This window comes from Homo sapiens, chromosome 10 (genome assembly GCF_000001405.40).
Source record: "Homo sapiens chromosome 10, GRCh38.p14 Primary Assembly".
In the NCBI taxonomy this organism is placed as follows: Eukaryota; Metazoa; Chordata; class Mammalia; order Primates; family Hominidae; genus Homo; species Homo sapiens.
In genome coordinates this window covers 96,173,612-96,199,995 of record NC_000010.11, presented here as the reverse complement: position 1 = coordinate 96,199,995, position 26,384 = coordinate 96,173,612, and the positions used below count along the sequence as shown (strand labels likewise).

The 26,384-nt window shown below is 38.5% G+C and overlaps 2 protein-coding genes and 1 pseudogene across 10 annotated transcripts in view; 2 read left to right on the top strand and 1 right to left on the bottom strand.

Annotated features, from left to right (window-relative positions):
• The window catches only part of BLNK (B cell linker), an 82,399-nt gene extending 71,574 nt beyond the window's left edge, over nt 1-10,825 (top strand). For 5 of the 9 annotated variants that reach the window (NR_047680.2, NR_047682.2, NR_047681.2 and 2 more), the window contains 2 exons: nt 2,933-3,088; nt 7,904-10,825. Coding sequence is in view for 5 of the 9 variants with exons in the window: in NM_001114094.2 (NP_001107566.1) it covers nt 2,933-3,088; nt 7,904-8,023 (276 nt within the window). In the remaining 4 variants the exon portion in view is untranslated. The remainder of the gene's footprint in view (nt 1-2,932; nt 3,089-7,903) is intronic. The other 4 variants (NR_047683.2, NM_001258442.2, NM_001258441.2 and 1 more) reach the window with 1 other exon arrangement.
• ZNF518A (zinc finger protein 518A) overlaps nt 1-26,384 on the bottom strand; it is a 75,577-nt gene that overhangs the window by 5,296 nt on the left and 43,897 nt on the right. The gene's annotated exons all lie outside the window — the stretch shown is intronic.
• NPM1P25 (nucleophosmin 1 pseudogene 25) lies at nt 9,761-10,822 on the top strand (annotated as a pseudogene).

Here is a 26,384-nt window from a genome sequence, read left to right as displayed (position 1 = left end):
AGTGCAGTGGCTCGATCTCAGCTCACTGCAACCTCTGCCTGCCTCCCAAGTTCAAGTGATTCTCATGCCTCAGCCTCCCAAGCAGCTGGGATTACATGTGTGTGCCCCCAAGCCCGGCTAATTTTTGTATTTTTAGTAGAGACGGGGTTTTACCATGTTGGCCAGGCTGCTCTCGAACTCCTGACCTCAGTTGATCTGCCTGGCGGCCTTGGCCTCCCAAAGTGCTGGGATTACAGACGTGAGCCACCGCGCCCGGCCAAGGTCTGATCATTTTTAAATCACACGTTTTGCCCTCAGCCTGTAATAGACACAGTTGTCGTCCTTATGATATGCTAATTAAATAATTGCAACAAGTGTAGATACAAGGATCTTTTTCCTTTACTTACTCAAGAGAAACTGCTATCCCCTCCTCTCTTTCAAGTTCCTCCATCTCATTTCTACTTGTCCTTTCATCTCCTCAAGGACCCACAGCCTCCACTGCCCTCCAAACAGTGGGAGACGAGAAAGCTCCAGGGGAGGTCTATGGAAGGCTTGGTGCTGCATGAGCTCCACTGAGGAGTGAACAGTGACAGGCTATTTTGGATCAATGTGCAGGATTAAAAATTTGAGTCAAGATGGCAAACAAACAAACAAACAAAAAATACCTGGAAGTAAATGTTTGGAGAGCCCAACTTCAATCATGTAGGAACACCAGGGACAGCTTGGACAATTCAAGATTAAAGTGACACTTTTTCTTTCTCTCTTCTCCTCCCATTTTCTTTTTCTTTGTTTTCTTGCACTCCACTTTGTCAGAATATATAGCATTTACATACTGTTCTTCCTCACCCTTGTTTTAGTCCTAGCTCTACAAGTAAATATATTAGTGTGTTCCGTCAGTCCTTTGGTGGACTTCCACCATTGTCTCTTTCCTTTGATGAAGTGTACCTGTAGTAGATTCTGAGGAAAAATCGTGTTTACATTATTCCCTGAGTTCCTTTATATTCAAAACTATTTTCTCAGCCAGGCGCAGTGGCTTATGCCTGTAATCCTAGCACTTTGGGGGGCCGAGGTGAGTGGATCACTTGAGGTCAGGAGTTTGAGACCAGCCTGGCCAAGATGGCAAAACCTCATCTCTACTGAAAATAAAAAAATTAGCCAGGCGTGATGGCGGGCGCCTATAATCCCAGCTCCTCCGGAGGCTGAAGCAGGAGAATCGGTTGGGCCTAGGAGGCGGAAGTTGCAGTGAGCCGAGATCATGCCACTGCTCTCCAGCCTGGGCAACAAGAGTGAGACTGCTGTGGGGGAATAAAAAGAGAAAGAGAGTTAAAAAACTGTTTTTTCATATCCTAGTAGTTGGAAGAAATCTTGGCTGGCTATAAAATCCTTAATTTGAGTTTGAAAAGTGTTGCTCCACTAGATTGTGTTGTTCTGTATGAAGCTCTTGAGAAGTCTGATACCAATGTGACTTTCTTGCCCTTCTATGTAATTTGATACTTTAGTCTGGTGGCTCTGCAGACTTTTTGTTTTTAAAGTCTAATCATTTTACCAGAATATATCTCTGAGTTGATAATTCCAAATCAATTTTCTCAAGTAGACAGAAGCCCTTTCAATACGTAGATTTAAGTTTTCTCTTATATCCAATAAGTTTTCTTAGATCATAGTCTTAAAGGGTTGTTCTGTTCCCTTATTTGTTTTTCTTCTGCAAGCACTCAATTTACATGCGTTTTGGATCTTTTTTGTCATTTTTTCTCCCATCACTGTCTTTGATTCTATGGTACTTATTTTATTAAATCCCATTTTCTCTCCTGGTTGTTTCCACACCTTCCTTCAAGTGTCATTTCTTAAATCTTCATTTGAAGCTCTCGTCCCTTGGACATCTTATAATTTGTTCTTTGTTGAGATAGGCTTGTCTTTTTCTTCAGTTTGTTTCCTGAGTTTGATCAACTCTTGTTGCATTTCATTCTGCTTTTTGTCCATCTTTTGTTCGTAATTTTTTATTTTATGATTCTAAATATTTTTATTAAAAAATTTAATAAAATTTGAATTACTGTCTTACAGTTTGGGGATTTTTTTTTCTTTTTCTTTTTCTTTCTTTTTTTTTTTGATGTTGTCTCGCTCTGTCACCCAGGCTGGAGTGCAGTGGCACGATCTTGGCTCACTGCAAACTCCGTCTCCTGGGTTCACGCCATTCTTCTGCCTCAGCCTCCCGAGTAGCTGGGACTACAGGTGCCCGCCACTATGCCCGGCTAGGGATTTTTTTTCTTATAAAAGTTCTTTGAGGAGAGAATTTTCATAATGAGGTCAGTCTGACCCAAGATTTTAGTCCAGGGGCAAATATAAAATGAAAGTTTTGATTCCCAACCTCTGTTTTCTTCTTATAGTACTTATGAATGGAATTTGTTTGATACATTTTTTTTCATAGACAACTGGTGGCTATGGTTCCCAGTTCAAGAGAGTCCTCTAGATTTGATCTTAATGTGTCCCTTCACATATTTCTAAATTTTATAAACATAAAACCTTATTTAGCACATTAAAAAGCTAGCATTTAGCTGGGCATGGTGGTGCATGCCAGTAGTCCCAGGTACTCAGGAGGCTGAGGTGGGAGGATCGCTTGAACTCAGGAGTTCCAGGCTGTAGTGGACTGTGATTGCACCACTGCACACCAGCCTGGGCAACAAAGTGAGACTGTTTCTAAAAATAATTAATTAATTATTACCTTTTTTTCAAAAAAGGCAAGCATTGATCTCACTCAGGATTTTCTATGAGTATATATTTTCCTGGACTATTTTCTTAGAAAATAAGAAGACAAGCGCTAATCAATAATAAAAATAATGTAGCTAAATAATTTACCTTTGGAATGTAATATAGGTGTTCTTCACAAAATGATTTTTTGAACCTGTAGAAATATAAGTAATACTAACCATAATTATGTTTTTTAAAAAAAATTAAACAGGATGGATCATTTCTTATTCGGAAAAGCTCTGGCCATGATTCCAAACAACCATATACACTAGTTGTATTCTTTAATAAGCGAGTATATAATATTCCTGTGCGATTTATTGAAGCAACAAAACAATATGCCTTGGGCAGAAAGAAAAATGGTGAAGAGGTCAGTGATTTCTTTTTAAATTCAATTCTATAACTATGCATTGAGTATAATGACATCAAATACTGTATTAGATGCTAGAGATGAGGAGAAAGGATACAAAAGTACTTGTTCTAATGCTTGCATAAATGTCATAGAGAACAAGATAAAATACTATATTTAGGCAGTATATCCTATAAGAACACAGAAAAGGAAAAAGTCATGTGATGTACATGCTAGTCCTTTCATTCAGTTATTTAATGAGGTCAGTCTGACCCAAGATTTTAGTCCAGGGGCAAATATAAATCAAGGTTGAAATGTCAAGTTGAATTAAGGTTGTAAGAATTAGGGTCAAGTTCCAGACCTCCAAAGTCAAGACCTAAAATCTCAACTCAAGTACCAAGGTAGGTTACCAGGGAAGGATCCAGAAGAGATGCAGAAACTTGAGTTAAAACATTAGACTATAGCCCTTGTACCAGAATGAGCTTATGGGCCTGGAGCAAGAAAAAAAAATCACATGGGTCTTAAATATTAATCAAACATTAACTTTAATGCCTCTTTAATCTGGACCAAACTCAGTGCTTACCATATCTCAGTTTAGCCAGCCTGCTCCTATAAATGAACCCTGAAATATGAGCTGGAGTAACCCATGAATGGTCTAGAAATGCAGTGATACTTATTCTGGTTTTGAATTACGGGTTGAATTTAAATGGGTAGAATGTAAGTTGGAGGGATGGAGAAGGAGAAAAATGGGAAGAACAATCTATGCAGAGAAAATAGCATAAACAAAATTCAAGGTAAGAAATATTTACTTTCAAGATTCCTTCAGAAAAAGGTACACCATTCCAAACCCAGCACCTGCTAGAAAATATTTGAATTGTTGGAAAATGTCATGATTGCTGAAGTGTCTGTCTTCCCCACTACATGAAGCCAAGGACAATGTCTTTTCATCTCTGTATTTCCAGAATCAGAGCACAGTAACTGGCTTCAGTGTACACTTGATAAATAATTATTAAGCAACTGAATTGATTTGGTTGAGTGATTACAGGCAGGAGAATAGCATTTGCAAAACAAACTGAAAAAGTCATGTGTATTCTTTATTTTGCCTTTTAGACAACTGTGGTTAAAAAACCACATATAAAATTTACCATCTTAATCATTTTAAGTGTACAGCTCAGTAATAAGTATATTTACATTGTTGTGAAACAGATCTCCAGAACTTGTTCATCTTATAGAACTAAAACCCTATACCCACTGAACAACAGTTTCCCTTTTCCCCCTCCCTTCAGCCCCTAGCAACCACGTTCTATTTTTATGAATTTGAATATTTTAGATACCTCATACAAGTGGAATCACACAGTATTTGTCCTTTAGGACCAGCTTATTTAACTTAGCATGATGTCCTTGAGACTCATCCATGTTGTAGCATGTGTTAGGATTTCCTTCCTTTTTAAGGCTGCATAGTATCTCATTGTATCTATATACCACATTTTGTGTGTCTAACATCCATCAGTGGACATTTGTGTTGCTTCTACCTCTTGGCTATTGTGAATAGTGCTGCTATAAACACGGGTGTGCAAATCTCTCCAGGACACTGCTTTCAATTATTTGGGGGTATATACCCAGAAGTGGGATTGCTGGATGATATGGGTATTCTATTTTTAATTTTTTGAGAACCTCCCATACTTTTTTCCATAGCAGTTGCACCATTTTACAGTTCCACCAACAGCACACGAGGGTTTAACTTCTTCACATCCCCACCAGCACTTGTTATATTCTGAATTGTGTTGTTGTTTTATAGTAGCCGTCCAAATGGGTGTAAGGTGATAGACAGCTCATTGTGGTTTTAATTTGCATTTCTCTGGCCGGGCGCGGTGGCTCACGCCTGTAATCCCAGCACTTTGGGAGGCCGAGACGGGCGGATCACGAGGTCAGGAGATCGAGACCATCCTGGCTAACACGGTGAAACCCCGTCTCTACTAAAAATACAAAAATTAGCCGGGCATGGTGGCGCGTGCCTGTAGTCCCAGCTACACAGGAGGCTGAGGCAGGAGAATGGCGTGAACCCGGGAGGCGGAGCTTGCAGTGAGTCGAGATCGCGCCACTGCACTCCAGCCTGGGCGACAGAGCGAGACTCCGTCTCAAAAAAAAAAAAAAAAAAAATTTGCATTTCTCTGATGATTAGTGATGTTGAACATTTTTCATATGCTTTTTTGGCTACTTGTAAGTCATTTTCAGAGAAATGTCTATTCCATTTTATAATCAGGTTATTTGATTTTTGTTGTTGCTGAGTTTTAGGAGTTCTTTATGTTTCTGGATATTAACCCCTTATCAGATAAATGATTTGCAAATATTTTTCCCACTCCATAGGTTACCTTTCCACTCTGTTGATTGTGTTATTTGCTGAGCAAAAGCTTTTAAGCTTGATATTGTCTTCTCTATTTTTGCTTTTTTTGCCTATGCTTTTAATGTCATATCCAAAAAATCATTGCCAAATCCAGTGTCATGGTGTTTCCCCCCTACATTTTCTTCTAGAATTTTTATATTGGGGAATTTTATTTTGCTTTTAACAAAGTCTCAGATAATTTTAAAATGCAAAACTCTTGAATCTAAGGGCACTAATCAAGACCAATCTTTGGTTTTAAAATGTAGACCGCATTATCATTTAACATCCTAAAGCTTCTCCAGCAGTCTAGCTTTTCTATAAGAGGCTTAAGGGTGGGTGAAGAAGCTGTCCTATTTCGAGGTCCTGAAATTCTCTCACAAATTTTGAACTCCCTGAGGGGCTCTGGATTTCGTTGTCCTGCTAGGAAACTCTGGTAAACAGGAATTCCTCTTGGCCTGATGAATCTTCATCTCCACTTTAGAATGAATAGACTAGAGCTTCACCTCACTTCCAACATATTCAGCCTATGGATTCCAAAATAAGTAATATATTACTATAATAGCATCTGGAGGTACTGACAGTCAATTAAAACTCTTACTTAAAGTATCTATAATAAAAAGATTATGTCCCCTATACACTGAACATCTGAATGGAAAATTAAAGTGTTGGTTACATGATGTCAATCATGTGGAGTTTTTCTGAAAGTCTGTGTGTATTTGTGTGTACATGGCTAGAAAAAGTAACCAATTCATTAACTATTTAACTGTTTATGCAGCTATTTTGGCACTGTGTGATACAACATTGAGTAATTTTACAGTTTTGACAACTGTCTGCTTTATCTTAGTGGCCAATACGTTGTTTTTCTGTCCACAAATACACTGAATGTATCTGTCTCAAATACACTGAATTAATAAAAACAGAAAAAAAGGAGAGTGAGGGGAAGCTGTAACTATGTTATGCCCAATTCTTTTTTAAATTAAATCACAAATATTCTTCAACTTCATTCCCTACTTCAAATGTTTCAACTCAGCTCAACTCCCTACTGCACACACTTCAATCCCCGAACACCACAACAAGGCAATACTCACAAATATTCAGGGACTAGAGGGACGGAATGAGATATTTGTTTGTATAAGTACAGCAATCCTCTCCTATGCTTCCTAGGTTCAGGACACACTTTTTCCCTTGTAATCCACTTCAAAGAGATTGTGCTATTTCGTTTTCTGGCCCTTGAGTCCATAACTTTAACTTTCAACTGCATTTGGTTTAGCAACATATTATGCCAAACAAGCAGAATGAATGTTTAATGGGATTTATAATGAAAGAATTTCTTTGGCAATTGCAAGATGGCTGAATGATTGAATAGGAAGTAAAGAATAAAGACTAAAGGTATTTGAAAGTCCCTGTCTCTTACCTCTCTCCCTGACTGAATATTCAGCTAGCCAATTATCTAAAAGACAACTGGTATTTCATTTGGAAATGTTGGCCAATATTCTGAATATTTTACTTTATTCAATATGTAGCTACTTGGAAGTCATCCAAACAATTAATAAACACTTAAAAATTTTACTGTGGATGTTTGTCTTTATCTAAAAAATCGAGAAAATAAAATCAATTGATAGTAACTGCTAAACTCATGGCACTGTTGTAAAACAATCACCACTTTTAAAAAGTGATTCTAAATACATTTAATGAGTGTGAACTTGTAGCACTTTTGTATACTCAATGAATTTAATTTCATGATCTGTGTTACATTTGTTTTTATCTTTCCTTCAAAACTTTAATTATTTTTCAGAACAAAATTTGTGATAATTTTAAATTAAAACCCATAGACAACAAGGATCAAAATTTGGAAAAATAAGTATGTATGGAGAGAGCCTAGCATGAAATTTCATTATTAATTAGGCACTAAGTTAACTCTAAGCTTACCAGGAACCAAGTAAAAATGGAAATATGAAGGTTTATAAAGCTTTCTTTATTTGTTTAAAAAAGAAAACAAAACATAATTTTGTTTAGGAGATGACTATTTCCTTGTACTAAATTTCTAAGGTTAATTTATTACATCAATTCTTGTATCTGAGACTTGTGCAAAGTAAGAGATGATCTATGTTTTGTAAAGAATGTAGAAAAATGCGTTGTATGATAGTTTTACATTTAACGGTAAATAAAAAGCAATATACTATAATATTTTATCATAACTCAGTGAAGTAATCTCTCTAAGTAGCTATGCTAATTGAGGCTGTCAGTGTGTTTTTCTTCGTACTTAATACAGCAAAGTCCAAGGTCTGCCACCTTGAAGGTTACAGCCTTTGTTAAACTAGATTTTTTTGTGCAGAATGTCAGCTGGGGTGTAATAACTTTTACTAACTTGAGAATGAGAGAAGATGGGAGGAGTGGAGCTCAAATTTAACACAAATGCCAAAGTATAATTCATCTATGTTTTCTTCCTCTAGTACTTTGGAAGTGTTGCTGAAATCATCAGGAATCATCAACATAGTCCTTTGGTTCTTATTGACAGTCAGAATAACACAAAAGATTCCACCAGACTGAAGTATGCAGTTAAAGTTTCATAAAGGGGGAAAAAAAAGATCAATACCATTGCTTCAGACACTTTCCCAAAGTTTCTCCTTTTGAGAAAAAGTCCCAAAACTTCATATTTTGGATTATGAATCATCCAGTAATAAAATGGAAGATGGAGTCAGCTATTGAAGTGGTCATCCATTTCTTTTTAAGAAGCTCATGTGGACTTGTTCTATTGCCTGACCTGATGAACTGTTAATATCTGGTGAGGTTGAGTTATCATGCTACTAATATTTTCCAAATAAATATTTTTATTTTTAAAAATAAGTGTAAAGTATATTATCAAAATAAGAAAATAATGCTCTTGCATAAAACAAAGTGGCTGGAAATTTAAACCTCCACAATGATCATTGGTACACTAATGTAGCTGGGCTCTCCACTGCCAATGCTTGACAATTAAGTCTTGGTTAAAATTTTAATTTGTAGAAAATAAGGTATTAAAGGTAATGTATGATATCTGTAAGTATAGGCAAGAAGGATGTAATGGTTCCTTTTTGTGAGCACTCTCAACCATGGGATATATATATATATGGATATGAACTTTCTATAAGTTCTTGTCTAGGATTATGCTGTTAGTTTTGCTTACTAAAGATAATTATACCCTCTTTGATCTACATGTCTATCAAATAGAACCTAAACTTGATATGAGGTTTGTATTAGTCCATTATCACGCTGCTAATAAAGACATACTCAAGACTGGGTGATTTACATAAAAAAAAAAAAAAAAAAAGAGGTTTAATGGACTCACAGTTCCACATGGTTGGGGAGGCCTCACAATCATGGCAGAAGGCAAAGAAGAAGCAAAGGCATGTTTTACATGGTGGCAGGCAAGAGAGCATGTGCAGGGGAACTGCCCTTTATAAAACCATCAGATCTCATGAGACTTACTCACTATCACAACAACATGGGAAAACCTGCCCGCGTGATTCAGTTACCTCCCACCAGGTCCCTCCCATGGCACGTGGGGATTATGGGAGCTACAATTCAAGATGAGATTTGGGTGAGGACACAGCCAAACCATATCAAGTTTCAAAGTGGAATGACAGCAAAGCTAGACTAAAAGCCAGTTCCTAGAGAAATATCCCACAAAACAAGAGCAGAAAAGCAGACATTGGTGAACACCAAGGAATAAAAGAGATACCATCGTGGAGAATCAGGTCCAAGGTCTTAGATCATCCCAGAAATGTATCATACTTTGTCATATATTTCTACTGTGTACTTCAGACAGCAGTGAAGTGATAAAGCAGCTAATTAAGTCTAATAATTAAATGGGGAACACACTTGGCCACTGCATAAGATAGCAATCTATGAAAGTATGTTGAAAGGCCAGAAGGTAATAATTTCAGGGTAACTCATGACTCACTTCTAAAGATAATTGTATATTTAAATGTCATAAACTTTCATAATTGCCACCTATGTTACAGATTGAACTGTGGTCCCCTCAAAAAGATATGTTGAAGTCCTAATCCATAAGGCCACATATCTCAGAATGTGACCTTATTTGGGAATGAGGTCTTTACAGATATAGTCAAGGTAAGATGAGGTCAGTAGGGTGGGCCTTAATACAATGGCTGGTGTCCTTATAAAATTAGGAAATTTGGATGCAGGCACAGAGAGAAGACTATATGAAGAGACACACAGGAACAATACTACTGGCGTGATTCCATCCTGTATGGCTGTTCTCTTGAGCAGTGGTCGTTTATCTCCGTCTGCTTTCTCTCCCACCTAAGTGTGTGCCGCCACCTGATGGAAGATTCGATGGACATGGACGTGAGCCCCCTGAGGCCCAGAACTATCTTTTCAGTTGTGAACTAAAGGCCGACAAAGATGATCACTTTAAGGTGGATAATGATGAAAATGAGCACCAGTTATCCTTAAGAACGGTCAGTTTAGGGGCTGGTGCAAAGGATGAACTGCACATTGTTGAAGCAGAGGCAATGAATTATGAAGGCAGTCCAATTAAATAACACTGGCACCTTTGAAAATGTCTGTACAGCCAACAGTTTCCCTTGGGGTCTTTGAAATAACACCACCAGTGCTTTTATGGTTGAAGTGTGGTTCAGGGCCAGTGCATATTAGTGGACAGCATTTAGTAGCTGTGGAGGAAGATGCAGAGTCAGAAGATGAAGAGGAGGAGGATGTGAAACTCTTAAGGATATCTGGAAAGTGATCTGTCCCTGGAGGTGGTAGCAAGATTCCAGAGAATAAAAGTAAAACTTGCTGCTGATGAAGATGATGATGATGATGATGATGATGATGATGATGATTTTGATGATGAGGAAACTGAAGAAAAAGCACCATTGAAGAAATCTACATACTCCAGCCAAAAATGCACAAAAGTCAAATCAGAATAGAAAACACTCAAACCCATCATCAACACCAAGATTAAAAGGACAAGAATCCTTCAAAAAACAGGAAAAAACTCGTAAAACACCAAAAGGGCCTAGTTCTGTAGAAGACATTAAATCAAAAATGCAAGCAAGTATAGAAAAAGGTGGTTCTCTTCCCAAAGTGGAAGCCAAGTTCATCAATTATGTGAAGAATTGCTTCCGGACAACTGACCAGGAGACTATTCAAGATCCTGGCAGTGGAGGAAGTCTCTTTAGAAAATAGTTTAAACAATTTGTTAACATTTTTCCATCTTATTTCATTTCTCTAACAGTCAATATCTGGCTGTCCTTTCTATAATGCAGAGTGAGAACTTTCCCTACTGTGTTTAATAAATGTTGTCCAGGTTCCATTGCCAAGAATGTGTTGTCCAAAATGCCTGTTTCATTATTAAAGATGGAACTTCACCCTTTGCTTGGTTTTAAATATGTATGGAATGTTATGATAGGACATAGTAGTAGCAGTGGTCAGAACATGGAAATGGTGGGGAGACAAAAATATACATGTGAACTAAAACTTGGCATTTTAATAAAGTAGCATGGTTTCTATTGAAAAAAAAGATTACGACATGAAGATGAGGGACTGGAGTGATGCATCTGTAGGCCTGGGAGCACCAAAGATTGCCTGCAAACCATCAGAAGCTAGGAAGAGGCAAGAACAGACTTCCCTCCGGGTTTTAGAGGGAGCATGGCCCTGGTGGCACCTTGATTTTGGACTTTGAGTGTCCAGTACTTGAAGACAATAAATTTCTGGCTTTTTAAGCCACCCAGTTTATTATGGCGGCCATAGAAACCTAATAAAATTTATATGCATTTTTTACATTCAGGTATATAGGGGTTTGGGAAATTTTGTATGGAAAGGTTTTTTTTCTCCTTTTAGGAAAACCATTGAATCATTTTGAATGTACTAGAAAGGATGACTCACAATTTAAACTGGGAAACTGGGGTAATTTTTTGGTAAAGCAAAGCATCTGTTTGTAGTATGTGGCATCAGCTCTCTAGCTTCAGTTTTCCTCAGTGTTACACGGAATTATTTTCTATTTAAGTAAATCCTCATTAATTCCCACTGCTACCACAGCAACCCTGGCTCTATAACAACCTCTTATGCCTCATTCTTCCTCTCCTCCTCCAAGTGTCCTACTCCAGCTAGGTAATAGCATAGCTGTTAAGATTATACTAATCCTCAGTTGGTTGACATACAGTACTGCGTGGTGGATTTCTTGGAGCAGAGGCTGGGAGAATTTCTGAGAGATAGGCCATTCTCTGCTAAGGGCTCTACTCCTCCCCAAAGCTGGGAGAACTACCCAATCCAACATGCCAGTCTTTTCCCTCATCTTGCAGAAGAGTCCACTGAGGGTGATCCCACCTGCTTCTCTAAAGCCCACCTCTGCAAGTGGTATTCTTGATGAGATTAGAAAAGTCTTTAAGAGGCTGGGCATGGTGGCTTACACCTATAATCACAGTAGTTTGGCAGGCCGAAGCAGGTGGATCACTTGAGGCCAGGAGTTCAAGACCAACCTGGTCAACACAGGGAAACCCCATCTCTACTAAAACTAGAAAAAATTAACTGGGCATGGTGGCACTCGCCTGTAATTTCAGCTACTACTCAGGAGGCTGAGGCATGAGAATCACTTGAACCTGGGAGGCGGAGGTTGTAGTGAGCCAAGATCATGCCACTGCACTCTGGCCTGGGCCACAGAGTGAGACTCTGTCTCAAAATAAACAAATAAGAAATTTCAAACACCTGTCTGTGATCTCAATGTCTCAATGGCTGACAAACAAATGGTTTTGCATAAAGAAATTTTCAGGCAAGCTAGGTGGTGGAATAGGAGACACTAGTCAAGAAGTACATGTGTAGCAGCTGAAGAAGGAAAAAAACCACACCCCAGTTCTTGTCTTCTGTTGAAAAGTAGATTGCAGCTATGGTAGTAGGAAAGATTTTCAAGTTTGTTCAAAAGGACAATAGACATGAAAAAGCTACGCCTGTGTCCAGCACAAGCCTGATTGTGTGTTATCATAAGTTAGCCAGGGCAATGGTTTGGAGACCTTGCACTCTGGGAGCTAAACTACTCTTACTGTAGTAGCTGGGATAGTCTTGCCTAAAAGAAAGTCCCAGAGAACAGAATTCAGCGATGTGAGGCAAAACCAGCACTACCTGAGACATGTTCTTAAAAAAGGACTGAATTCCTCTCCTTCAAAATGGTCTTAAGACACCATATAACTCAGCCTCTATTTCTAGGTAAGGGTAAACAATATTTTTCCAGTAATGATTCAAGAGCTAAAGTAAGCTAGTGGTGCCTGATAAACATTACCTCCTAGTCCCCTAACCAAAATCTTCTTTGCAGACATAAAAAGTGATCTGTGGATAACTCTTTAAATGAACCCATCTATAAATATTTTAGAACACTTAGTAATTATAATTGTGTATTAGGAAAATCTCAAATATTTTCTCTACATCTGTGGTTCTTAATCTTTTAGTAGTTACAAAATTCTTTGAGAATCTGATGAGAACTGTGGGTCTTTGGCCTGAGGAAAAATTCATTTATGTATATACACAGAAACTCACATCAAATATCATGAGATTCCTGGGCCTCTGTGGCCTATCCATGGACAAAATAGCCAAACATCCAAGACTAAGGACTCAACATTTTTCTTAACCTTTGATGCATCAAGATGGACATATTATTCTACTAAATATGTGAATGACCCTAAAAGTAACTCCTCCATTAGACGAGAAGGATATTGCTATGGTTTAGCGCAAGTTATTTGGTGTAAGTTGCAATAATTCTAATCCCAGCTTTACCAATAACAGATTGTGTGAACTTGGGAAAGTTATTTGTTTTGGTTTCTCTATTTGTAAAATGAAGATAATAATGCAACCTAGGCCAGGCGCAGTGGCTCACACCTGTAATCCCAGCACTTTGGGAGGCCAAGGCAGGCGAATCATGAGGTCAAGAGATCAAGACCATCTTGGCCAACATGGTGAAACCCCGTCTCTACTACAAATACAAAAATTAGCTGGGCATGGTGGTACATACCTGTAGTCCCAGCTACTCAGGAGGCTGAGGCAGAAGAATCAGTTGAACCCAGGAGGCGAAGGTTGCAGTGAGCCAAGATCGTGCCACTGCACTCCAGTCTGATGACAGAGAGAGACTCCGTCAAAAAAAAAAGCAACCTACTTTATGTTATTGTTCCATGAGCATATTAAAAATTGTAAAAGCTGGTTCATTCCAAGATGGCTGAATAGTAACAGCTCCGGTCTGCAGCTCCCAGTGTGATCGATGCAGAAGACAGGTGATTTCTGCATTTCCAATTGAGGTACCTGGTTCATCTCACTGCGACTGGTTGGAGTGCAGCCCATGGAGGGCGAGCCAAAGCAGGGTGGGGCATTGCCTCACCCAGGAAGTACAAGGGGTCAGGGGATTTCCCTTTCCTAGCCAAGGGAAGCTGTGACAGACTGTACCAGGAAAATCGGGACACTGCCATCCAAATAGTGCACTTTTCCAATGGTCTTAGCAAATGGAACACCAGGAGATTATATCCGGCGCCTGGCTCAGCAGGTCCCACGCCCACGAAGCCTTGCTCACTGCTAGTGCAGCAGTCTGAGATTGAACTGCAAGGCAGCAGCCTGGCTGGGGGAGAGGCGTCTGCCATTGCTGAGGCTTGAATAGGTAAATGAAGCAGCCTGGAAGCTCGAACTGGGTGGAGCCCACTGCAGCTCAAGGAGGCCTGCCTGCCTCTGTAGACTCCACCCCTGGGGGCAGGGCATAGCTGAACAAAAGGCAGCAGAAACTTCTGCAGACTTAAATGTCCTCCCCTGTGTAGCCTAACTGGGAGACACCTCCCAGTAGGGGCCGACTGACACCTCATACAGCCGGGTGCCCATCTGAGACGAAGCTTCCAGAGGAAGGATCAGGCAGCAATATTTGCTGTTCTGCAGCCTCTGCTGGTGATACCCAGGCAAAGAGGGTCTGGAGTGGACCTCCAGCAAACTCCAGCAGACCAGCAGCTGAGGGGACTGACTGTTCAAGGAAAATAACAAACAGAAAGGAATAGCATCAGCATCAACAAAAAGAACATCCACACCAAAACCCCATCTGTAGGTCACCATCATCAAAGAGCAAAGGTAGGTAAAACCACAAAGATGGGGAGAAACCAGAGCAGAAAAGCTGAAAATTTTGAAAGCCAGAGTGCCTCTTCTCCTCCAAAGGATTGCAGCTCCTCTCCTCGCCAGCAACGGAACAAAGCTGGACGGAGAATGACTTTGATGAACTGACAGAAGTAGGCTTCAGAAGGTCAGTAATAAAAACTTCTCCGAGCTAAAGGAGGATGTTCAAACCCATCACAAGGAAGCTAAAAACCTTGAAAAAAGATTAGACGAATGGCTAACTAGAATAAACAGTGTAGAGAAGACCTTAAATGACCTGATGGAGCTGAAAACCATGGCACGAGAACTACGTGATGCATGAACAGCCTTCAGCAGCTGATTCGATCAAGGGAAGAAAGGGTATCAGTGATTGAAGATGAAATTAATGAAACGAAGTGTGAAGAGAAGTTTAGAGAAAAAAGAGTAAAAAGAAATGAACAAAGCCTCTAAGAAATATGGGACTATGTGAAAAGACCAAATCTACGTTTGATTGGTGTACCTGAAAGTGACAGGGAGAATGGAACCTAGCTGGAAGACACTCTTCAGGATATTATCCAGGAGAACTTCCCCAACCTAGCAAGGCAGGCCAACATTCAAATTCAGGAAATACACAGAATGCCACAAAGATACTCCTCAAGAAGAGCAACCCCAAGACACATAATTGTCAGATTCACCAAGGTTGAAATGAAGGAAAAAATGTTAAGGGCAGCCAGAGAGAAAGGTCGGGTTACCCACAAAGGGATGCCCATCAGACTAACAGCAGATCTCTCAGCAGAAACTCTACAAGCCAGAAGAGAGTGGGGGTCGATATTCAACATTCTTAAAGAAAAGAATTTTCAACCCAGAATTTCATATCCAGCCAAACTAAGCTTCATAAGTGAAGGAGAAATAAAATCCTTTACAGACAAGCAAATGCTGAGAGATTTTGTCACCACCAGCCCTGCCTTACAAGAGCTCCTGAAGGAAGCACTAAACATGGAAAGGAACAACCAATACCAGCCACTGCAAAAACATGCTAAATTGTAAAGACCATAGATGCTAGGAAGAAACTGCATCAATTAACGGGCAAAATAACCAGCTAACATCATAATGACAGGATCAAATTCACATGTAACAATATTAACCTTAAATGTAAATGGGCTAAATGCCCCAATTAAAAGACACAGACTGGCAAATTGGATAAAGAGTCAAGACCCATGAGTGTGCTGTATTCAGGAGACCCATCTCACGTGCAGAGACACACATAGGCTCAAAATAAAGGGATGGAGGAAGACCTACCAAGCAAATGGAAAGCAAAAAATGCAATCCTAGTCTGATAAAACAGACTTTAAACCAACAAAGATCAAAAGAGACAAAAAAGGCCATTAAATAATGGTAAAGGGACGAATTCAACAAGAAGAGCTAACTATCCTAAATCTATATGCACCCAATACGGGAGCACCCAGATTCATAAAGCAAGTCCTTAAAGACCTACAAAGAGATTTAGATACCCAACAATAATAATGGGAGAATTTAACACCCCATTGTCAATATTAGACAGATCAACGAGACAGAAGGTTAACAATGATATCCAGGACTTGAACTCAGCTCTGCACCAAGCAGACCTAATAGACATCTACAGAACTCTCCACCCCAAATCAACAGAATATACATTATTCTCATCACCACATTGCACTTATTCCAAAATTGACCACATAGTTGGAAGTAAAGCACTCCTCAGCAAATGCAGAAGAACAGAAATCACAACAAACTGTCTCTCAGACCACAGTGCAATCAAATTAGAACTCAGGATTAAGAAACTCACTCAAAACCGCTCAACTACATGGAAACTGAACAACCTGCTCCTGAATGACCACTGGGTAAATAACAAAATGAAGGCAGAAATAAAGATGTTCTTTGAAATGAATGAGAACAAAGACACAAAGTACCAGAATCTCTGTGACACATTTAAAGCAGTGCGTAGAGGGAAATTTATAGCACTAAATGCCCACAAGAGAAAGCAGGAAAGATCTAAAATTGACACCCTAACATCACAATTAAAAGAGCTAGAGAAGCAAGGGCAAACACATTCAAAAGCTAGCAGAAGGCAAGAAATAACTAAGATCAGAGCAGAACTGAAGGAGTTAAAGACACAAAAAAACCTTCAAAGAATCAATGAATCCAGCTGTTTTTTTGAAAAGATCAACAAAATTGATAGAACACTAGCAAGACTAATAAAGAACAGAGAAGAATCAAACAGATGCAATAAAAAATGATAAAGGGGATATCACCACCGATCCCACAGAAACACAAAGTACCATCAGAGAATACTATAAACACCTCTACACAAATAAACTAGAAAATCTAGAAGAAATGGATAAATTCCTGGACACATATACCCTCCCAAGACTAAACCAGGAAGAAGTGAATCCCTGAATAGACAAATAACAGGCTCTGAAATTGAGGCAATAATTAATAGCCTACCAACCAAAAGAAGTCCAGGACCAGACAGATTCACAGCCAAATTCTACTAGAGGTACAAAGAGGAGGTGGTACCATTCCTTCTGAAACTATTACAATCAATAGAAAAAGAGGGAATCCTCCCTAACACTTTTTATAAGGCCAGCATCATCCTGATACCAAAGCCTGGCAGAGACACAACAAAAACAATTTTAGAGCAATAGCCTTGATGAATATCGATGCAAAAATCCTCAATAAAATACTGGCAAACCGAATCCAGCAGCACATCAAAAAGCTTATCCACCATGATCAAGTTGGCTTCATACGTGGGATGCAAGGCTGGTTCAACATATGCAAATCAGCAAACATAATCCATCACATAAACAGAAGACAAAAATCACACGATTACCTCAATAGATGCAGAAAAGGCCTGCAACAAAATTCAACAGCCTTCATGCTAAAAACTCTCAATAAACTAGGTATTGATGGAACATATCTCAAAATAATAAGAGCTATTTATGACAAACCCACAGCCACCATCATACTGAATGGGCAAAAACTGGAAGCATTCCCTTTGAAAACTGGCACAAGACAGGGATGCCCTCTTTCTCACCACTCCTATTCAACATAGTGTTGGAAGTTCTGGCCAGGGCAATCAGGCAAGGCAAAGAAATAAAGGGTATTCAATTAGGAAATGAGGAAGTCTAACTGTCCCTGTTTGCAGATGACATTATTGTATATCTAGAAAACCCCGTTGTATCAGCCCCAAATCTCCTTAAGCTGAGAAGCAACTTCAGCAATGTCTCAGGATACAAAATCAATGTGCAAAAATCACAAGCATTCCTATACACCAATAACAGACAGGCAAATCATGAGTGAACTCCCATTCACAATTGCTTCAAAGAGAAGAAAATACCTAGGAATCCAACTTACAAGGGATGTGAAGGACCTCTTCAAGGAGAACTACAAACCACTGCTCAATGAAATAAAAGAGGACACAAACAAATGGAAGAACATTCCATGCTCACAGAGAGGAAGAATCAATATCATGAAAATGGCCATACTACCCAAGGTAATTTATAGATTCAATGCCATCCCCATCAAGCTACCAATGACTTTCTTCACAGAACTGGAAAAATTATTTTAGAGTTCATATGGAACCAAAAAAGAGCCCGCATTGCCAAGACAATCCTAATCAAAAAGAACAAAGCTGGAGGCATCACGCTACCTGACTTCAAACTATACTACAAGGCTACAGTAACCAAAACAGAATGGTACTGGTACCAAAACAGATAGACCAATGGAACAGAACAGAGGCCTCAGAAATAACACCACACATCTACAACCATGTGATCTTTGACACACCTGACAAAAACAAGAAATGGGGAAAGGATTCCCTAATTAATGGTGCTGGGAAAACTGGCGAGCCATATATAGAAAGCTGAAACTGGATCCCTTCCTTACACCTTAGACAAAAATTAATTCAAGATGGATTAAAGACTTACATGTTAGACCTAAAACCATAAAAACCCTAGAAGAAAACCTAGGCAATACCATTCAGGACATAGGCATGGGCAAGGACTTCATGACTAAAACACCAAAAGCAATGGCAACAAAAGCCAAAATTGACAAATGGGATCTAATTAAACTAAAGAGCTTCTGCACAGCAAAAGAAACTACCATCAGAGTGAACAGGCAACCTACAGAATGGGAGAAAACTTTTGCAATCTATCCATCTGACAAAGGGCTAATATCCAGAGTCTACAAAGAACTTAAACAAATTTACAAGAAAAAATCAAACAACCCCATCAAAAAGTGGGTGAAGGACATGAATAGACACTTTTCAAAAGAAGACTTTTATGCAGCCAACAGACACATGAAAAAGTGCTCATCATCACTGGCCATCAGAGAAATGCAAATCAAAACCACAATGAGATACCATCTTACACCAGTTAGAATGGCAATCATTAAAAAGTCAGGAAACAACAGGTGCTGGAGAGGATGTGGAGAAATAGGAACACTTTTACACTGTTGGTGGGAGTGTAAACTAGTTCAACCATTGTGGAAGACAGTGTGGCAATTCCTCAAGGATCTAGAACTAGAAATACCATTTGTCCCAGCCATCACATTACTGGGTATATACCCAAAGAATTATAAATCATGCTGCTATAAAGACACATGCACATGTACGTTTATTGCGGCACTATTCACAATAGCAAAGACATGGAACCAACCCAAATGTCCATCAGTGATAGACTGGATTAAGAAAATGTGGCACATATACACCATGGAATACTATGCAGCCATAAAAAAGGATGAGTTCATGTCCTTTGTAGGGACATGGATGAAGATGGAAACCATCATTCTGAGCAAACTATCGCAAGGACAGAAAACCTAACACCGCATGTTCTCACTCATAGGTGGGAAGTGAACAATGAGAACACTTGGACACAGGCAGGGAACATCACACACTGGGGCCTATTGTGGGGTGGGGGGAGGAGGGAGGGATAGCATTAGGAGAAATACCTAATGTAAATTACGAGTTAATGGGTGCAGCAAACCAACATGGCACATGTATACATATGTAACAAACCTGCACGTTGTGCACATGTACCCTAGAACTTAAAGTATATATAAAAAAAAAAGATGAAAAAATTGTGAAAGCTCAAGGCTGGGTACAGTGGCTCACACCTGTAATTATAGCACTTTGGGAGGCTAAGGCAGAGGATCACTTGAATTCAGGAATTTGAGACCAGGCTTAGCAACATAGCAACACTTCATCTCTATTAAAAAAAAAAAAAAAAAAAAAAAAGAGGCTGGAGCTGTGGTTCATGCCTGTAACCCCAGCATTTTGGGAGGCCAAGACAGGCAGATCACCTGAGGTCAGGAGTTTGAGATCAACCTGGCCAACAGGGTGAAACCCTCTCTCTACTAAAAATACCAAAAATCAGCCAGGCGTGATGGCAGTTGCCTGTAATCCCAGGTACTCAGGAGGCCAAATAAGGAGAATCGCTTGAACCCAGGAGGCAGAGGTTGCAGTGAGCCGAGGTTGTGCCACTGCACTCCAGCCTGAGCTAGAGAGCGAGACTCCATGTCAAAAAAAAAAAATGAAAGAAAGAAAGAAGAAGAAAAAAAGAAGAAAAGAAGAAGGATGAGGAGGAGGAGAAGGAGAAAGAGAAGGAGGAGAGGAGGAGGAGGAGGAGGAAGAAGAAAAGGAAGAAGAAGAAGAAGAAGAAGAATTGTAAAAGATTCAAAAGTGTTATTTTTTCATTCAACCAGTGAACATTTATTGAGCCTGCTGTATGTCTGTCAGTATGTATGTTAGGGTTTTGTGTGGAAGTTTCTGTGTTTTCATTCCTCTTAGAAAAAATATCTAGGAGTATAATCCTGGGTCACATAGAAAATACATGTTTATAAGAAACTGCCAAAATGTTTATAAAGTGGGTGTACTTTGGATAAACTCTATGGGGACATCAGCAATGTATGAGAGTTCAGTTGCTTCACACCCTAATCAGTACTTGATACTGTCAGTTTTAATTTTAGCCATTCTACTAGCTGTGTAGTAGTATCTTATTGTGGCTTTAATTAGCAATTTTTTGATGATTAATGATACTGAGTATCTTTTCATGTGCCCATATATCCTCTTTTTTGAGGAATCTGTTCCTTTGTCTATTTTAAAAATTAGGTTTTTTATTAAATGGTAAAAATGTTATATTTTCTAGACATAAGTCCCTTGACAGACATATGTATTGTGAATATTTTATTTTTCTTGCCTGCAGTAAACCCTATTTAACATACAGTATCCATTTTATATATTGCTGGGTTTTTAATGCTAATACATTAAGGATTTTAACATAGACATCCATAGGGAACACTGGTCTGTAGTTTTCTTTACTTACAATGTCTTCATCAAATTTTAGTATCAGGATAGTGCTGGACTCATAAAATGACATAAAAATATTCCCCTATTTTTTGAAAGAATTTGTGCAGCATTGATATTATTTATTCCTAATACATTTGATAGAGTTCACCAATGAAGCCATCTGGGCTGGAGCTTTCTTCGTGTGAAGGTTTTCAATTATGATTTCAATTTTTTAATAGATATAGGCTATTGTGATTTTCTATTTTTGTTTTGTTAATTTGTCTCTCAAGGAATTTGTCCATTTCAACTAGGATACCAAATTTATTTGTATAACATAGTCTAATATATATTCTAATATAATGCTTTTAAGATATGTCAGATCTGTAGTAATGTCCCCTCTTTAACATTTTTCTCGATTCATCTAGCTAAAGGTTTATCAATTTTATTGACCTTTGCAAAGAACCAAGTTTTCATTTCATTAATTTTCCCTATTGTTTGTCTGTTTTCTACTCATTGATTACCATAAATAATGTTATTATTTCCTTTCTTCTGCTCATTTTAGGTTTAATTTGCTCTTCTTTCCATACTTTCTTAAGATGGAAGCTTACATAATTGACTGTAAACCTTTATTGTTTTCTAATACAAGTATCTGAAGTTTAAAATGTCCCTCCAAACACTGGTTTAGTAACATTCAATGAATTGTAATATAGATTTCTCAATTTCATTCGCTTAAAAATATTTCTAAATTTCCCCTGTGACTTCTTCTTTAACTCATGGGTTAATCATAAAAGGGCTGTTTAATTTCCATGTATTCAGGAATTTTCCAAGGATTGTTCTGAGATTGATTTCTAATTGAATTCTGTTAAGGATATAACATACTCTGCATGAATTCAATCCTTTTAAATTTATTGAAACTTGTAAATTTAGTGGATGTTCTACATGGACTTGTGAAGAAGGCATAGTCTGCTAATTTCAGATGGAATGTTCTGTAAAATCATTTAGTTCAAGTTGACTGATAATATGGCTCTAGTCTTCTATGTCATTACTGATTTCTTTTTGCCTAGTTGTTCTATCAATTACTGAGAGAGGAGTATTGGAATAGCTAACTATAATTGTAGATTTGTCAATTTCTCTCTATAGTTCTGTCGCTTTTACTTCATGTATTTAGAAGCTTTGGTACTATATGCATAGACTTTTAGGATAGTTATGTCTTCTTAATGAATGGAACTCTTTATCATTGAGGTATTTCTTTTTATCCCTAGTATCATTTTTTTCTGGTCTACATTTTTTCATCCTGACAAATTTCTGCCTTTTAATTGGAGTGTTTATAACATTGATATAATTGGGTTTAAAGCTGCCATCTCTGTTTTCTATATTTTCCCACCAGTTTTTGTTTTCCATTTTGTGCCTTCTGTTGGCTTGAGGTTTTAAAATCTATTTTATCTTCAATATTCTCTTAGTAATTACATGTTTTTTACAATGGTTCCTCTAGGCTATACAATACACATATGTGACTTATCACAGTCTATCTTCAAATACAACAGTACTCCTCCATTTCCCCTTCCCTGCCTTTGTGCTACTGTTGTCATACATTTTACTCCTACATGTAATAAATCCTATAATATGTTATTATTTTTGCTTTCAATGATTTTCTTTAAAAGAAATTAAACAATGAGGGAAAAGTCCAGTGCTCTTAATTCCTTTGTGTAGATAAGATACCATTTTTCTTCTATCTAAAAAATTTCTCTTAATATTTAAGGTAGCGCAGTTGTGCTGAATTATCTTGGATTTCTCTTATGTTAAACTGTATTTGTTTTGTCTTCATTCTTGAAAGATGATTTCACTAGACATAGAATTCTAGGATGACTTATTTTTCCCTTCAATATTTTAAAAATATCATTCCACTATCTTCTGGATTGCATAGTTTCTGATGTAAGTCTGCAGTAACTCTTATCTTTGTTTCTCAACACATATGTGTACTTTCTTCCTCTGGCTTCTGTTAAATTTTTTATAACTTGCTTTCAGAAATGTGATTTTTTTTTTTTTTTTTTTGAGACAGAGACTCACTCTGTTGCCCTGGCTGGAGTGCAGTGTGGCATGATCATGGCTCACTGCAGCCTCAACCTCATGGGCTCAAGTATCCTCCCACTGCAGCCACTGAAGTAGCTGGGACTACAGGCATGCACAACTACACCTAGCTAAGTTGTTTTTATTGCTTTTTGTTTGTTTGTTTTGAGACAGAGTCTCGCTCTGTCACCCAGGCTGGAATGCAGTGGCACGATCTCAGCTCACTGCAACCTCTGCCTCCTGGGTTCAAGTGATTCTCCTGCGTCAGCCCTCCTGAGTAGCTGGGATGACAGGTGTCTGCCACCACGCCCAGCTAATTTTTGTATTTTTAGTAGAGATGGAGTTTCACCATGTTGGTCAGGCTGGTCTCAAACTCCTGACCTCAGGTGATCTTCCTGCCTTGGCTTCCCAGTGTTGGGATTACAGGCATGAGCCACTGTGCCCACCCTTGTTTTGTTTTTTTGTAGAAACAAGGTCTCACTATGTTTCCCAGGGTAGTCTGAAACTCCTGGCTCAAGTGATCCTCCCATCTCAGCCTCCCAAAATGCTGGGATTATAGGCACTCAGCCAGAAATGTGATTATGATGTGTTTGGGATGGTTTTCTTCATGCTTTTCCCGCTTGGGCTTCATGTAGCTTCTTGGACCTTTAGGTTTATCATTTTCATAAAATTTAAGGAAAATTTTCAGTTATTATTGCTTCAAATATTTTTTTCTCCCTTTTCTCCTCCTTTTCTGGGACTCCAGTTACATAAATGTTTTACTACTCAATATTGCCCTATAGTGTGGCATTCATGGAAGTGTACAGCTTGGATCTCCCTTCAAGAAAAAATTTATAGGCTGAGTGTAGTGGCTCACATCTATAACATTGCTTTGGGAAGCCAAGGCAGGAGGATCACTTGAGGCCAGGAGTCTGAGACCAGCCTGGGCAACATAGACCCTGTCTCTACAAAAACTTAAAAAATAATAATAACCAGGCAGGGTGCCATGCACCTGAAGTCCTAGCTACTCAGGAGGCAGGATTGCTTGAGCCCAGGAATTTGAGGTTACAATGATTGCACTGCACTCCAGCCTGAGAGATAGAGTAAGACCTATCTCTAAAAAACAAAAGAAAGGAAGGAGGAAAGAAAGGAAGGAAGGAAGGAAGGAAGGAAGGAAGGAAGGAAGGAAGGAAGGAAGGAAGGAAGGGAGGGAGGGAGGCAGGGAGGGAATACTTGTAATTCAGCTGCAAGGAGTGCAATTAGGTTGACAGCCACTAGCTATTAGGGCTTTCAGCATCTGTCTCAGGATTCAAGACAAATATATGGTCTTCCTGAGCACCCTTCAGTCTACATTTTTGCCCAACATGGAACTCTTCTAAAAGACAGACTTTGACCTGAAATACCCATTGGGTTGGCTGACTGTATATGAGATGCATGACAATCTGAGACTCTCTATAACCAATGTGGCTTCCACTCACCAACCCCTTTCTTTCTCCAGTTATCAGACCTGCCTTATGGTTTGCTGGCTTTTCTTAAACTCAATCCTCCTTCCTCTCCTTTAAATTTTCCCAAGCATTACTGCCCAATAAACTTCTTGCATTCCAAACTCCACGTCAGCATCTTATCCAGAAGACCCAACTGACAGAGTTAGTACCTAAAGTAGTCCAAGAAAGCAGGAAGTAAAGATGAGGTTTTGGGACCAGATTACTCATCACCCAGCTGGCAATCAGGACCCATCCTGTGGGTATGTAAGGCATGAATTGCCCCAAGTACAAAGTGGTGGCCCAGATACTAATGTCTTGCAGTGACTTATTTTTATATGTCCCCAGGCTTGATTTACTAGTCTTTATTGCATCTATATTCATAAGGAAATTTTCTTTAGATGTCTTTGGCCTCATAGAATGAGCTGGGAAGTGTACATTTCTTAATCAGCTCTGGGTGCTATAACAAAAATATCATAGACTGAGTGGCTCAGACAACAGGCATTTATTTCCCACAGTTATGGAAGCTGGGAAGTTTGAGACCAGGCGGCCAGGATAGATGGGTTCTAGTGAGGCCCCAATTCCTGCCTTACAAATGGGGACTTCCTGTTGTATCCTCATGGCAGAGAAAAAAAATTATGCTGTCCCTTACTCTTAAGGGCAATAATTCCATTGTGAGGGCTCTATCTTCACGACCTCATCTAAACTTAAGTATCTCCCTAAGGCCCCACATCCTAATTGGAGGTTAAAGCACCAACATATGCATTTGGGGGAGTGGGGGACTCAAACATTCAATATATAACACCTATTCCATGTTTTGTAAGCTTGTAAAGAATTGCTATCTATCTATCTATCTATCTATCTGTAATTTTTTTGGTAGACTTTACTAATGTATTCTGAAGCCATCTAAACCTGGGTTTTTCTTACAATTTTTGTGGTATCATTTCAATACCTTACTCGTCATAGGTTTCTTCTGATTTTATATTTCCTCTTAAGCCATTTTTTAAAATAGTTTTTGTATCTTTCTAGGAATTTGTCAATTTCATCTAGGTCATATAACTACTGGGCATTCAGTTGTTCATAGTATTCCCTTACATTCATTTTCATTTTGTAAGAGCAGTAGTATTGTCCACTCTTTCATTCTGTTTTTAGTAATTTGAGTCTTATTTTCTTGGCCAGTCTAGCTAAAGCTTGTCAATTTTGTTGACCTTTGATAAGAACCAAATTTTGGTTTCCTTTATGTTCTCTATTGTCTTTCTATTCTCAATGCAATTTCCTTCCATCTCATTTTTATGATTTTCTTCCTTTGACTTGCTTTGGGTTTACTTTGCTCTTTTTTTTCTTGTTCCTTAAAGTATAAAGTTATGCTATTAATTTGAAATCTTTCTTCTTGTTTATTGTGGTAAGTATACATAAAAGTTACCATTTTAGTCATTTTTAAGTGTACAGTTCTGTTGCAGTAAGTTTTTTTATTTTTTAAATATACTCACAGATATAAATTTCCCTCTAAGCACTGCTTTAGTCACATCTCACAAGATTTGGTGGGTTATGTTTTTTCTTTTATTAACCTCAAGAAAGTTTGTTACTTGATTCATTGATTATTTATGAGTATTGTTCAATTGCCATATATTTATGAATTTTCAAAATTTCCTTTGTTTTTAAGTTCTAATTTAATTCTATTGTGGTTGGAGAACACACTTTGTATCATTCCCATCCTCTCAAATTCACTGAGACTTGTTTTATATGGTATATCCTGGAGAATGTTCCATGTTCTTTGGAAAAGCATATCTATTCTCCTGTTTTGGAGTGGATTTCATAGATGTAGTAGATCTAGTTTGTAGTGCTGTTCAAGTTTTCTATTTCCTTGCCAATCTTTTGTTGTTATTTTATTCATTTATGCAAAGTGGAGTATCAAAGTGTCCAACTATCATTCTTTACTTGTCTACTTCTCCCTTCAATTCTGTCAGTTTTTGCTTCATGGATTTTGTGGTT